The 15247-nt window shown below is 36.0% G+C and overlaps 1 protein-coding gene across 13 annotated transcripts in view; it reads right to left on the bottom strand.

Annotated features, from left to right (window-relative positions):
- The window catches only part of XRCC4 (X-ray repair cross complementing 4), a 296927-nt gene that overhangs the window by 253156 nt on the left and 28524 nt on the right, over window positions 1–15247 (bottom strand). For all 13 annotated transcript variants that reach the window (XM_047417695.1, XM_017009827.3, NM_001318012.3 and 10 more), the window contains exon 3: window positions 10115–10290. In XM_047417695.1, the coding sequence (XP_047273651.1) occupies window positions 10115–10290 (176 nt within the window). The remainder of the gene's footprint in view (window positions 1–10114; window positions 10291–15247) is intronic.

Here is a 15247-nt window from a genome sequence, read left to right as displayed (position 1 = left end):
ATAACCCAACTATTCTACTCCTATATATTATTCAAATAAAACATATGTCCATACAAAGATTTAAATGTTCATAGCAGCTTTATTGGTTATAGTCCAAAACTGGAAGCAACCCAAATGTCCACCAACTGGTGAATGCATAAACAAATTGGGGTGTATCCATAAAATGGAACACCACTCAGCAGGAAAAAAAGAATAAATTATTAAAACTTACAACAACATGGAGGAATCGCAAAACAATTACGCTGAATAAAAGAAACCAGACCGAAAAAAGAAGTACATACTGTATGGTTAAATGTATGGATAATGTAAACCAATCTATAATGACAGAAATCTAATCAGTGGTTTTCTGGGGACTGAGTGAAGAGGTAGGAAGGAGGGAGAAAGGAATTATGATGGGTACTAAAAAATTTGGGCAGGTTGAGGATTTATCATCTTGATTATGGTGACAGTTTCATGGGTATGTACACATTTTAAAATTTACCCAGTTGTATACTTTCTATATGCACATTTTATAAATTAATTGTATCACAATAAAGTTGTTAAAAATTAAAACATACCCACAAAAAGATTTAGACATGAATGTATATAGCTGCTTTATTCATGTCAGCCCACAACTTGAAATCACCAGATATTCATCAAAAAGTAAAAGTGGTATATCAATACAATGGAATACTACTCAGCAATGGAAGGAATGAAATGCTGATATACAGCACACAATGAGACATCTCAAAAATGTTATACTATGCAAATAAAGTTATGAGCCAGAATACACACTGCATAGTTCCATTCACATGAAATTCTAAAACATGTAAAGCTGATCTATAACGAAAGAAAGCAGCCCAATGGCTGCCTGGGGCCTTGAGAGTAGGTAGGGTTGGGAGAAGAAAACAGGTAGTTGGGAGCCTGACTGCAAAGAGGCTTGAAAGTGCTTTTATGAATACTGAAAACTGTATACTCACCATAAGTACATTTAATTGTTTGTAAATTATCCCTAAACAAATTTAAAAAAAAACTGATTTGGTATTCATAAAACAGCGGCCTGAATTCTATCCTAGCTTAGCTTACTACCTGTTTTCCTTAGCAACTCACTTATACTTTCAGCATGTATTGCTTCATGTATAAACAGTGACAATACCAAGTGCGCTTGATGAAGTATGAGATTGCATGCTGAAGTAGATTAACTGAAAATAAGCAAATATTAATATTGTTAAATTGAAATGTCCTTTTACAACATAGTTTTTACAATGCTATTTTCTACTTCTGGTTTTTTATTTTGTTTGTTTGTTTTTGTTTCTGTTATTGTTTTTTTTTTTTTTTTTGTGAGACAAGGTCTCACTCTGTCTCTGTCACCCAGGCTGGACAGGCTGCAGTGCACTGGCACAACCTTAGCTTATCTCACTGCAGCCTCAAACTCCCCAGCTAAAGTTATTCTCCCACCTCAGCCTCCTAAGTAGCTGGGACTACAGGCATGTCCCACCATGCCCAGCTAATTTACTTTTTTCTTTTTGGTAGAGAGAAGGGTCCCACTATATTGTCCAGGCTGGTCTTGAACTCCTGGCCTCAAGTGATCCTCCCACATTGGCCTTCCAAAGTGCTGGGATTACAGGCATGAGCCACTATGCCATGCCTACTTCTGCTCTGTTCTTATGCTAAGTTGTTCCTTTTCTGAACAAAAAAGTTAAGATATAATGACTTTAAAATATTTATTATTGAAGCAAACATTTTAAATAAAGGCAGAAAAATATGAAGCAAGAAAGAAAATGGGTCCACAAACAAAAAACAGTATAACTAAACACTGATATTTTTGTTTTTCAAATTATAAAATTTAATATATGGCTTAGCTAGAAAACGTATACTTTTAATGGGATTTCTTCACCACTTACATTACTTAGTCCTCACATTCCAAAAAGATCACAAAAATTATATAGTGTTCAGTATCAAAATGGCACATGTACACAAATACTTTTATCACCAAAATAAAGAATACTATGATTTCCTTTTCAGGCATTCAAACAACACATCTGCAACCCATATTCCCACAGACCTGAAAGTCATTACTATTTTTGACAAAATCTTTGGCAGAATACACAATAAATGCTACAATTCTGATATTTCATCTGGAAATAGCCCTTTGAATTCAGAGTCCCTGAAACCACAGGGACACATGGCAATAATATAGGATTTTGGACTGCTGTTTTTAAAAAGAACTCTGGATGTTTATTTTGGCAAACTGGTTTTACCTCATTTTCATATATTTGAGAAACGTCAATTAAATAATGGTGGGAAGGCTGTCTGAAACTTAGAATGGATTTTCCACTAAAAAATAAATAAAACTTCTAAAATATAGTAAGATACAGAGTAGGATACTTACTTTATCCTTTAAAGTATACTTACTTTATGTTGTAACATTTCTTAAATTGAAATATGACTGAAACCCTTATTTGTAATGAAATGCTAAACAAACATCCTTGCAACAAAAACAGCAAAGCCTTCTGAATGATATTTCAATCTTCCCTGCATGTTAAATGCATAGATTGCTAGTTGACCATTGATATCCATCTTCCAGTTTTTACACAGTAATGAAAACTTCTGTGCACAAGACACAGCTGAAGATCACATTTCACAGATTCCCTTGCAGCTAGGTGAAGCCATGTGACTACATTCTGGCCAATGGGACGTGAGCAAAAGGAATGTATCAAATTTGGGAGTGACTGTCTTAAAGAAAAAGCACATATTATTTCCTGTCTCTTTAACTGGGTCCTGCTGCCTCAAAGGTGAACATAATAGTAAAACTAGACAAGTCATCTTGGACTATGAAATAAAAACTACCTGTTAAAAATTACAAAGTAGACTGTTGGGCACACTGACTCATGCCTGTAATCCAGTGCTTTGGGAGACTGAGGTAGGAGGTTCTTGTGAGCCTAAGTGTCAGAGGTTACAGTGAGCTATGATCACATCACTGTACTCCAGACTAGGCAAAAAAGTGTGACCCTGTCTCAATTAAAGAAAAAAAAAAAAGCCAAGGGAACATGATCAAAGAAGCCTGTGTCTCCAATATCATAAAGCCATTATATTAACCCAGGTTTGCCTATTTGGATTTTTATATCACTGAAAAATAAACCTCTATGCTATTTAAGTAGTAGGGGAAATGAGGGTAAAGAAATAGAAGTAGACTTTGCATTAATTCTACTAGAGACTTGTAGCAAATTCTAGAGTTTTAGATATTCACTATATACATATGTGTGTGTGTGTGTGTGTGTGTGTGTGTGTGTGGAGATGTATATACATACACATATATATATGTATTAAATCATGTTTAATTTTTCTTCAAACCTCATAGCTTCCTTCACTGGGGAACAACAAAAATACATGAACACAGGGAGGGGCACAATGCATACTGGGGCTGGTCAGGGGGTCCAGGCAAGGGGAGAGCACCAGGAAAAATAGTTAATGCATGCTGGGCTTACTACCTAAGTGATGGCTTCATAAGTGCAGCAAACCACCATGGCACACGTCTACCTATGTAACAAACCTACACATCCTGCACATGTATCCCAGAACTTAAAATAAAATTAAATTAATTTTTTTAAAAAGACATATCCTTATAGCCAAAATGTTTATATATACATACATATACATACATACACACACACACACACACACACACACACACACACACACACACATATATATGTAGCTCTACAATATGTTAGCTAAGCTGGAATTAATCTAAGAAATCACTTAAAAATTGCACAGATGAAAAAACAGAATCATGAGGAAATTAGGGTTAAATGACTAGCCCAAGGTTATTCTTATCAAAAATAATTGTTTTTCTTTGACTCATAAATGAATATTTTTCTAAAGAAACAGAGTGAGATATGAAAGCAAAAAAGGAAGATGAATACATTATTCATTAAGATGCATTGTTAGCATGACAAAGTCTGTATGGCAAAATCAGGATAAATTGTTAAAGGTAGAGGGAAAACAGTGGCCCAAAGCACACAAATGATCTCTTGTGTGAGTGACAGTCCTTGTGCTGAAGAGATGAGGAGTTCCAAATGCTGGCACTATAGTATGCTTTCAACCAGAACAATCTACTGTTAAATGAAGAGCACTAAGGCAGGAAGGGTCACATGGGTTCGCACTCTATGGAGAAAAGAAATTAGTGTGTAGCTGTTCGCCCAACATTTATTCAAATGAGAATGAAGTTAAAATAAAAGGATCTATGTTATCTATAAAGAAAAGCCAATTAAAGCCTAAGGGAAGTTTTGGGAGGATAAGCTCAAAAGCAATCTCATGAAAATTGCTGACCCACTGCTCCCAAAACATGAGTATAAATATTGACAAACAAGCTAAAAATTTTAAATATTTCACTACATTAGAAATTGGTAATTCTGGCTGGGCACAGTGACTCATGCCTATAATCCCAGCACTTTGGGAGGCCGAGGCAGGCAGATCACTTGAGGTCAGGAGTTCGAGACCAGCCTGGCCCATATGGCACAACCCCGTCTCTACTAAAAATACAAAAATCAGCTGGGCATGGTGACATGCACCTGTAATCCCAGCTACTCAGGAGACTGAGGCAGGAGAATCACTTGAACCTGGGAGGCAGAGGTTGCAGTGAGCTGAGATTGCACCATTGCACTCCAGCCTGGGTGACAGAGTGAGGCTCCATCTCAAAAAAAAAAAAAAAAAAAAAAAAAAAAAAAGAGAGAGAGAAACTGGTAATTCTTTCACTCAGACAAAACATAAGACAGGATTTTCAAAATATCAGGTATTTTTGAATACTAAAATAGTGGTTACTTCCTTTTAAGAAAAAAAGAAAGTTTGTTATAAATGTAAATTTCAAACAATTCTTATATAAGTTAGATATTCAAAATGTTCAAATTGCACAGTGAACACACAATTAGATACACAAAATTTCTTGAACTGATGGCAATAAATGCCTAAAACCCTGACTCCCAGAGGTATGCATCTGGGAGCAAGTCTTTGTCACGGAGGAGCAACCTTACATTAAGAAACAACAGAATTCACAACTTTTTTAGTTGAATTTATGTTCATTCTTTTCCTTTCTTCTAAGTTTAGGAGGTCATTTTTGGCAACAATCAGATGTTTGTATCATCAAGAAAAGGATTACAAACTCCTTCTCAATTTTTAGGTCATCCAAGCAAAATTAGCTTTAAAAAAGTATTCTGTCTGCCATGTTTCCCATTGTCTGCAGATTTTTTTTGCCAGCAGATGAATCTACAAGACATTGTCACTCTGAAATCAGTCTGCAGAAGCACATCCTGAATACTGGAAGACTCCCATGACACCTTGGCCAAATGAACTTGTGATCTCTCAGCTGCATCCATCCACTGAAAGTTTTACCTCATCTAAATATCCAAAATATCTCTCAAGCCAAGCCATGAATAAACTCCTCCTTGTCAAGCCGTTCTGAGAATATTCTTTTCTTTCTCATAAACAAATAAATAAATGAATAAATAAGGAGACAGATATTTAGACTGCAATGTAGTGCTTTAAGACATTCTCTGGGGAACCAGCACACTTTTTGCATTGCTGGTAATCTTTCAGGCTGCTTCCATTACTTGTGAACATTTGTTGAAAAGGTAGTACCTGTAGTTCAAGATGCTGGCTCTGATAAAGTTGTTTACTTTCAGGGTGGTAAGCAAAAATCTTTCAGGATTATTATGAGTCTTTGATGTTGATATATGCCAAACCAACTGTAGAAGACATGAATCAAGAGGACTTAAAGCTCTTTCTTCATAGAAAGGGTAAAACCTGATGTACTGCCAGTCATGGCAAGTACTCCATCCAGGCTGATATGGTTTGGCTGTGTCCCCACCCAAATCTCATCTTGTTTTTTTGTTTGTTTGTTTGTTTGTTTTTTGAGACAGAGTTTCACACTTGTTGCCCAGGCTGAAGTGCAATGGTGTGATCTTGGCTTACCGCAACCTCTGCCTTCCGGGTTCAAGCCATTCTCCTGCCTCAGCCTCCCAAGTAGCTGGAATTACAGGTATGCGCCACCATGCACAGCTAATTTTGTATTCTTAGTAGAGACGGGGTTTCTCCATGTTGGTCAGCCTGGTCTGGAACTCCCAACCTCAGGTGATCCGCCCATCTCAGCCTCCCAAAGTGCTGGGAGGCACCCGGCCTAAATCTCATCTTGAATTGTAGATCCCATAATTCCCACATGTTGTAAGACAAACATGGTGGGAGGTAATCGAATCATGGGGGTGGGTCTTTCCTGTGCTGTTCTCATGAAAGTGAATAAGTCTCATGAGATCTAAAGGTTTTATAAAGGGGAGCTCCCCTGCACATGCTCTCTTGCCTGCCACCATGTAAGACGTAACTTTGTTCCTCCTTCTCTTTCTGCCATGATTATGAGGCCTCCCCAGCCATGTGGAACTGTGAATCATTTAAACCTCTTTCCTTTATAAACTACCCAGCCTCGGGTATGTCTTTATTAGCAGTGTAAGAACAGACTAATACAGTAAATTGGTACCGGTAGACTGGAGTGCTGCTATAAAGGTACCCGAAAATGTGAAAGAAACTTCGGAACTGGGTAACAGGCAGAGACTGGAACAGTTTGGAGGGCTCAAAAGAAGACAGGAAAATGTGGGAAAGTTTGGAACTTCCTAGAGACTTGAGGGCTCAGAAGACAGGAAGATGTGAAAAAGTTTGGAATTTCCTAGAGAATTGTTGAATGGCTTGGAACAAAATGCTAATACAGACAACGAAGTCCAGGCTTAGGTGGTCTCAGATGGACATGAGGAACTTGTTGGGAACTAAAGGTCACTCTTGCTATGCAAAGAGACTGGGGGCATTTTGCCCCTTCCCCAGAGATCTGTGGAACTTTCAACTTGAGAGAAATGACTTAGGGTATCTAGCAGAAGAAATTTCTAAGCAGCAAAGCATTCAACAGGAAGCAGACCATAAAAGTTTGGAAAATTTGCAGCCTGACGATGCAATAAAAAAGAAAAGCCCATATTTGGGGGAAAAATTCAAGCCTGCTGCATAAATTTGCATAAGTAATAAGGAGCCAAATGTTAATCACCAAGACAATGGGGGAAATGTCTCCGAGGCATGTCAGAGATGTTCACAGGAGCCCCTCCCATTATAGGCTCCAGAGGCCTAGGCGGTAAAAACAGTTTCCTGGGCCAGGTCCAGGCCCCCATTGCAGCGTGCAGCCTAGGGACTTGGTTCCCTGCATCCCAGTCACTCCAGCAGTCGCTAAAACAGGCAAAGGTACAGATCGGGCCTTGCTTCAGAGGGTACAAGTCCCAAGTCTTGGCAGCTTCCATATGGTGTTGAGCCTGCGAGTGCACAGAAGCCAAGAATTGAGGTTTGGGAACCTCTGCCTAGATTTCAGATGATGTATAGAAATGTCTGCGCTGGGTGCGGTGGCTCACGCCTGTAATCCCAGCACTTTGGGGGGCTGAGGCGGGCGGATCACGAGGTCAGGAGATTGAGACCATCTTGGCTAACATGGTGAAACCCCGTCTCTACTAAAAATACAAAAAATTAGCTGGGCATGGTGGCGGACGCCTATAGTCCCAGCTACCTGGGAGGCTGAGGCAGGAGAATGGCATGAACCCAGGAGGCGGAGCTTGCAGTGAGTGGAGATGGAGATCACGCCATTGCACTCCAACCTGGGTGACACAGCGAGACTCCGTCTCAAAAAAAAAAAAAAAGAAAGAAATGTTTGGATGTCCAGGCAGAAGTTTGCTGCAGGGGCAGGGCCCTCATGAAGAACCTCTGCTAGGGCAGTATAGAAGGGAAATGTGGGGTTGGAGCCCCTATACAGAGTCCCCACTGGGGCACTGCCTAGTGAAGCTATAAGATTAGGGCCACTTTCCTGCAGACCCCAGAATGGTAGATCCACCGACAGCTTGCACTGTGCCCCTGGGAAAGCCACAGACACTCAATGCCAGCCCATGAAAGCAGCCAGGAAGGGAGCTGTACCCTGCAAAGCCACAGGGGTGGAGCTGCTCAAGGTTGTGGGAGTCCGCCTCTTGCATTAGCATCACCTGGATGTGAGATATGGAGTCAAAGGAGATCATTTTGGAACTTTAAGGTTTCATGACTGCCCTATTGGATTTCGAACTTGCATGGCGCCTGTAGCCTCTTTGTTTTGGCCAATTTCTCCCATTTGAAATGGGTATGTTTACCCAATGCCTGTACCCTCATTGTATCTGGGAAGTAACTAACTTGTTTATGATTTTACAAGCTCATAGGTAGAAGGAACTTGCCTTGTCTCAGATGAGACTTTGGACTGTGGACTTGTGAGTTAATGCTGAAATGAGTTAAGACTCTGGGGGACTCTTGGGAAGGAATGATTGGTTTTGAAATGTGAGGACATGAGATTTGGGAGGGGCTGGGCGGAATGATATGGTTTGGCTGTGTCTCCACCCAAATCTCATCTTCAATTGTAGTTCTCATAATTCCCAAGTGTTATGAGAGGGACCCAGCGGGAGGTAACTGAATCCTGAATGAGGGGTCTTTCCTGTGTTGTTCTCATGATAGTGAATAAGTCTCATGAGATCTAATGATTTTATAAAGGGGAGTTCCCCTGCACATGTTCTTTTGCCTGCCACCATGTAAGATGTGACTTTGCTCCTCTTTTGCTTTCCACCATGATTGTGAGGCCTCCCCAGCCATATGGAACTGTGAGTCAATTAAATCTTTTTCCTTTATAAATTACCCAGCCTTGGGTATGTCTTTATTAGCAGTGTGAGAACAGATTAATATACATGCCAACTGTACCAAGCCCCGTCTTTTAGCATGTCAAAAATTTCAAAAGCCTTTCAGCCTTCTAAAATGTACCTCACTAATTTGGAATTTATTATGTATCAATATGTGTGAAACAGATAAAAACTAGAAAATCGCTGCACAAAATAATGCTAGTTGTTACATGCAAATGTTTAGTGAATGGGAAATGGCATTAATCCCAATTTGGCAATGATCTGCTTCAAAACATTAGAAGAGTCTGCACTTCTGTAACATATAATATCATCCGATTGAGCTTGGGCCACAGGAAAGAACACTTACAATAAATAACAAAATTGTAGTAGCTAGTTCCAACCTTCTTACTGAACCTATTTTAAATTACCATTTTAAGAAATTCAGCATATTGAAACTTATATAAATTGGCAGCTAATTAGAAAAAGTATGTTTATTTTAAATATAAATTACTAAGGGTAGTTTCTCTGCATTATTCCCTACACGATAATATAAATTTATAATGACTCCATTTGTTTCTACAAATGTTTATCTAATTAATGAAATCTCTTTAATTATTCCAAATTTAAAAGGTTGATTTAAAAGAATTTCCTAAACTCAGTTGAGCACTAAAACAAATTCTCAATACATTTCTGTTAACTTAATGTAGCAAACATTTCCTTCCCTCTCCTTCAGAAATGATAGATCTCATATATGACTGAAAACCACTGGTTAAAAAAACAAATTCAGTATCTATTAAACTTAGGTAAAATATACAAATAATTAGTGCCAGACTTTAATAAATAAACCACCTGCCTTGATCTGAATTGGTGCAGGAACTGAGCAGAATAAGTAGCAGATACTCTTGTTTGCAAAGCTTAGGCTTCAAGTTATTTCTATTTTAATATTTTTAAATCTGACAATATAAAGTATCCTTAATACTTACTATGCATTTTTCAATTTCAAATATACTCTAGTAAAGTAGAAAATAAGTCATAATTATTCTATATTCAAAGATATATTTTGATTGATTTTATTTCTTAAAATCAATATTTCACAAAACTTTTTTCAATAAGACCTGTCACGATGGCCTAAAACTTCTGATCTCACCTTTTTCAAGATTATTCTTTTGTATAATTAACTCTGTAATACTTTAAAATTTTTCAAGCATTAAAAACTAAACACATTTTCCAATATTTATTTTTCATGATTCATTAATATATTTAATGACTTTAGCTTTGAAGTATTCTTCTAATTTGGAAACCAAGTACTTTTCAAGCTTTTGCTTCTGAGGTGTTCTGGGAATAATATAGTAGTCACTTAAATTTAAATATAATTCCTCAATAAATGCTCTGACATTTTACTATGTAACATTTTGGAAAGTTTTACTTACTGAGACATCTTTCAGGTTTTTCTCAAAGAAGAAATAACAAGACTCTTTAGAAAAATTAAACGTGTATACATCAGCTGGTCCTGCTCCTGACAACAATGCTTTTCTCAGTTCACCAACATATTTCCCTTTTTCCATTGCCATGTCATCAGCTTCTTGGGAAATCTCTGATTCAGAAACTATGGGAAATATTAACAAAAGTTTTAAAATGAAAAGTAAATGACTACACATGAGAAAATATTAGTTTATCTGTTAGTACTAATTTATCACATGTAACAGAAATTCAAACAAGTAAAATCAATCCCTATACTACACATTTTTAAATCAAATTATTCCTTTTTACTGAACTAGCAATTTTTGAGAAATGCATTAATTTAGACTCACATCTCGTAAAATACATTAAACCCTTGACATTCTTTCTCTGTCTTCAGATGAAACGCATTGTAAATTATTACAGAAACTCCCACTTTGTGTAACTGCTCTTAGGTCAAAGCCAGATAATTTCCTACAATGAATAATAAGTTCAGTATTTTATAACATCTTTCTTCCTTGCATCAAAGATTCAATAGCCTATACTGTGTTTCTCACTCATATGGGCAGAGTAAAACAAAAGCAAAAGTGGAGCTCACTATTCTCATATCATGTGCCAACAACAGAAAATATGGATGAAAGGAGATGATAAGGAAATAATAGGAAGGAAACTAAAATGTACGAGCATCTCCTCTGCAACACATACTATACTAGAGACCGCTTCCAATTCTCTTATCTAGGTATTTTTAAAGCTGATGTTTTACTATCATTGAGATTTTTGTTTCAATAATTATATTTTCAATTCTAGATATTATCTTTGTTCCTTTGTCATTATATCCTGTTCTTATCCTACCCTTCTTTTAAATATTTAAATAAACGTATTTTAAGATCTCTTTCATTTCTGTATTTATGTGTGGCTCCTGGGGTATAAATTATGTTTCTTCTATCTGTGGAAAAATTCTTGTTTTACTTGTTTTCCTTTCATGCTTTGTAACATTTGAGTACAGCTCACCTCTAGCCAAAGTGGCAAGTGCTCTGGGAAGAAGTGGTCTTAAATGAAGGTTGCCTTTCTGGGGGTCATTACAAGTTTTATCAGTTTGGGACTAGTTTTGAAAGTTAATTTCTCACCTCGATTTTTACATTTGAGGCAAAGTGTTCCATTTTAAACCTCCCATCCACACATAACACAGGTTTAGGGTTCTGATTTTTCTTGAGACTTTTATTCACTCATAGTCCTTAGGGATTGTTCTGTTTTTATGCTGCATCCTCTGGACAGAGAGTAGTAGTTTTTTTAAAAGATTATTTTATTAACAGCATATATTTTCCAGGTTCCTTTCTTTATGCTGAGAGCTCAACTCCAATTCCCTAAGAGGTCTGAAGCCTCAACATTCTACCTCACTCAAACATTATACTCACTGTCATCTAGAAGTATATCTAGTTCAGATATTCCATGAATCTACAAGTAAGCTTTAATTCTCATCAATTACTTTGGTTTTGAAATACCTCTTCAAACATGGTGTCTGAGGTTTTCCCTTTCTTACACTCAAAAGTGGCAATGGGTCTGCATACTTGTTTGTTTTTAAAATTACAAGATTCAATCTCGTTATTTGTTGGAATGTGTGTGTGGTTGGATGGTTTCCTGTGTTAATTTAGGCTATCACAGTAATGATAAAAGTCTCATATGGTTGTATAATTTCATACTTATGCATTACACTTATCTATTTTAATTCCTTATAAAACTGAAAAACAGATATTATTTTCATTTTGCAAAAGAGAAAACTGAGGCTCACAGAGATCAAGTAATGGTCTAGGGTGATGAAGTAAGTAACTAGTGAAGCTGGGATTAATACTCATATCTCTCTGCATGTTTTATTTTGAGGTGAAGCAGAGACATGAAACATTGGATAAATTATTTCCATCCATAATTTTGAAAAACAACATTAGTATAAAATATTACAGAATATAAGGAAATCATGATTAAAGAATCCCTAAAATGGAACACACATTTTCATACCTTTGGTCTCTATGCTATCAAGTGTCTGGAAGACCCATGACAGTTAATGAAAAAGGGAGTCTTGCAAGGTACCAATATTTTTATATGATCAATTTTTGATAACAAGTTTTGATAATAAAATATGATTCTCATACGTCACACAACCTTTGGAAGGAGGTAAGAATAAAAATAGCTTATATTCATATATTAACAGCTTCTAAAACACTTTCACATTTTCTCTATTGGAAGTGGACACATTTAATATGATCATCACTATCAAACCTATTGATCTTTCAAATGCCCTAGTAGCTCTTCTAAAAAAAAAAAAAGAAGAAGATAAATGCTTCCTATTTAAGGAATAATTTCATATTTTGTGTTTGCATTATGTTAAAAAGTAACTATCTAACTTTAACTCACCAATACCTAGGAAGAACAGTTATTTCACAGAGAAATAGGAAATAAATTTGTAGATGCCATCTTTAATGCGGCCATAGAAAAACTTGAAGAAAACACAAAAGAAAACAGAGAACATCTATTTAAAAAGCATCTAGTTAAAAGTATTCTAAATTTCATTAAAATGAAAAGATACCTGTCTGAAAATATGTAATCATTCATTCATTCCAAAAATGCTAGCCTGTGGAGCTCAAATTCAAGTGCTAATATCTTAGACAACATTTTAGATATCTGTCAGTTATCATCCTAGATATCCTCTTATTTTCCTCTCCTAATAAATACTGTGCTGATTATTACGGAATATTTAATTTTTGAAGGAGAAAAAAACGTATGAAAGGAAATTAATTATGTAAAACAGCTATTTGTTCAAAAATGTACTTGAAAAATTCCTATAAAAGTAAACATGGAAATCTGACTGCCTACATAGGGCTTCAATCCTAAAAAACCAACCTGGTCACCAGTTTTGAATTCTGTGCCAAGAACATCTGGAAAAAGTATAGCTGTAAGCACGCGATGCTCTAAAACTTCAGTGACCAAGAATAAAGGCAATGGAAATAATAAAATTCAGCAAGAATGCAACTGAACCACATAATAAGGCATAAAACATGAGCAGCCCAACATGACCAAAAAACAAGGAACTGGTAGAAGTCAGACTGAGACTCACTTTAACACTGAAAAGCATCACTTTTGCAGTGTTTATAGGTAGATGAAGATGTAAGTGAGGAAAGAAGATTTTTTTCCTTCAGATACCTATATATAACTAGCCAAAAGCCTGCACACATCCTAAGCTTGTACTGGAGCTCAGAAGACATACAGTCTTATCATACCATTAGGATTCTAGTTGGTATTGCATCATAAACCCATTTCACTGCTTGATTTATTAAAATCCTCTTTCCACTGAGTTCTGTCACTATTTCCATATAAGTCAAAAAATATTTACACTCAAGATAATTATAAGTGGATCTAATTAGTGGATAATAGAACAATTAGTAAAGTTTAATTTACTCTTTAATAAACTTCAAACTACTCCAGAGATGGGTGATATAAGTTTCCTACTGCCAATAGGAATTCTTATGAAAGTCAGAGTCATCGATCATTAACCCACTTTGTGACTTACCCCTGTGATATAACCGCCTGTAATACTGATGTGATGATAGACCACATGATAATTAGATAATTGGACCTCAAAAACATTCATTAGATAAAACATTGCTAATGGAAATCAGTGAGTTTAGTGTAGGGGAGATTAAAAGAAAACTTACATCCTTTTAATTTCACTCAAATAAAAAGAGAAAAAAAATTGTCCAAATTGAAGGTTGCAGTAATCAAAATGTTGAACAAAAAAAAACAGGATGAGGTATCGGAAGGAAATCCGTTTCCATGTTTCAATTATTTAATTGTTTCAATGTCCTTAGTGATGTTATTGTCTACATGTAAAGTACCAGATCACATTTATGGAATAAGCCTTAACTAAACATGGGCACAGTGTTATATTATTTGATTTCCTATTTTGTCCCTGATATGTAAACAAGAAAACAGAAATGAATGAAGGCATAAAACACATGAGAGATTTAAACACTATTAGATATTTTTGAAAATAAAATGACCACATAGTGCACTATAAAATTTTCTGTTTTAAAGCTTGTTTGGTACAGGAAACCAAAATGGTAACAATCCACCTGAGAATACATAAGTTTGATATCACATTTTTGTCACATTAAATTCCACTAGCTAAAAAATAAATGGTAGAATATACTGCAGTTATGACAAATGTCAACAATAAGTAAATATAAAACTGGAGTTTTCATTCAAAAACATGCTAACTCTAAAATGAACAATTTATTTTCTTTTTTCGCAGACCAGTTTTATATATTTGAGACATCCTTTCATTCTTTCAATCAAAAAAGTATTCATTGAGAATGTATTTCGTAGGTACCGGTCTAGATAATTGCAAAGAGTGTTGACAAACCAAATGTGTCTCTTACCCTCAGTATAAATCAGTACCATCTAGTGAAATGATAATTCATGTTAATATTATTAAGAATGATGCCAGCACAATTGTATGATATAAACGAAATGTTCCATAAATGTAAGGTTCTTACATTTCTGGTTAAATTAAGAGATAAGAGTTAATGGAGTGTTCTTTTTTCCCCCAATACTTAATGATTAAAAAATTTCAAATAACATATTATCACTGATTTTTATCTTGGTGAATGAGGCTTATGGACTAGATTAGAATTCAGCCTCTTCCTTTGATAATTAAGGCTCCTGAAACACCTTAAGGTCATCTGTCTGACAACAACTAAGTATACAGAATACGCCATTTGCCAATTAGAAATACCTAAAGTTATAAATACAGTATTCCTTACATACAAGCAACCACTTCCCCTAGGACTTGCTTCCAAGCTGTGTTGTTAGAACTGCTCTTCTTACCCAGATGACCAGCATTAATCTATTGCCCTTGTCTTTAGCCTTATACACTCTTCACCCTAAAACAAGAAATATTGTCTTCTGGATATAATCTCTCTGGCATACATAAAACCAAGCTGACAAATCTTCTACTCTTGAACTGCAACAACCAATCTGATTTCTGCTTTCTCTTACAGATAAATGTGTAGCTTAAATAGATATCATAATAAGTACTGCAAATATTACCCCTG

Source organism: Homo sapiens, chromosome 5, assembly GCF_000001405.40.
Source record: "Homo sapiens chromosome 5, GRCh38.p14 Primary Assembly".
Lineage (NCBI taxonomy): Eukaryota > Metazoa > Chordata > Mammalia > Primates > Hominidae > Homo > Homo sapiens.
The sequence above is the reverse complement of the archived record's forward strand: the minus strand, read 5'-3'. Positions and strand labels throughout refer to the sequence as shown.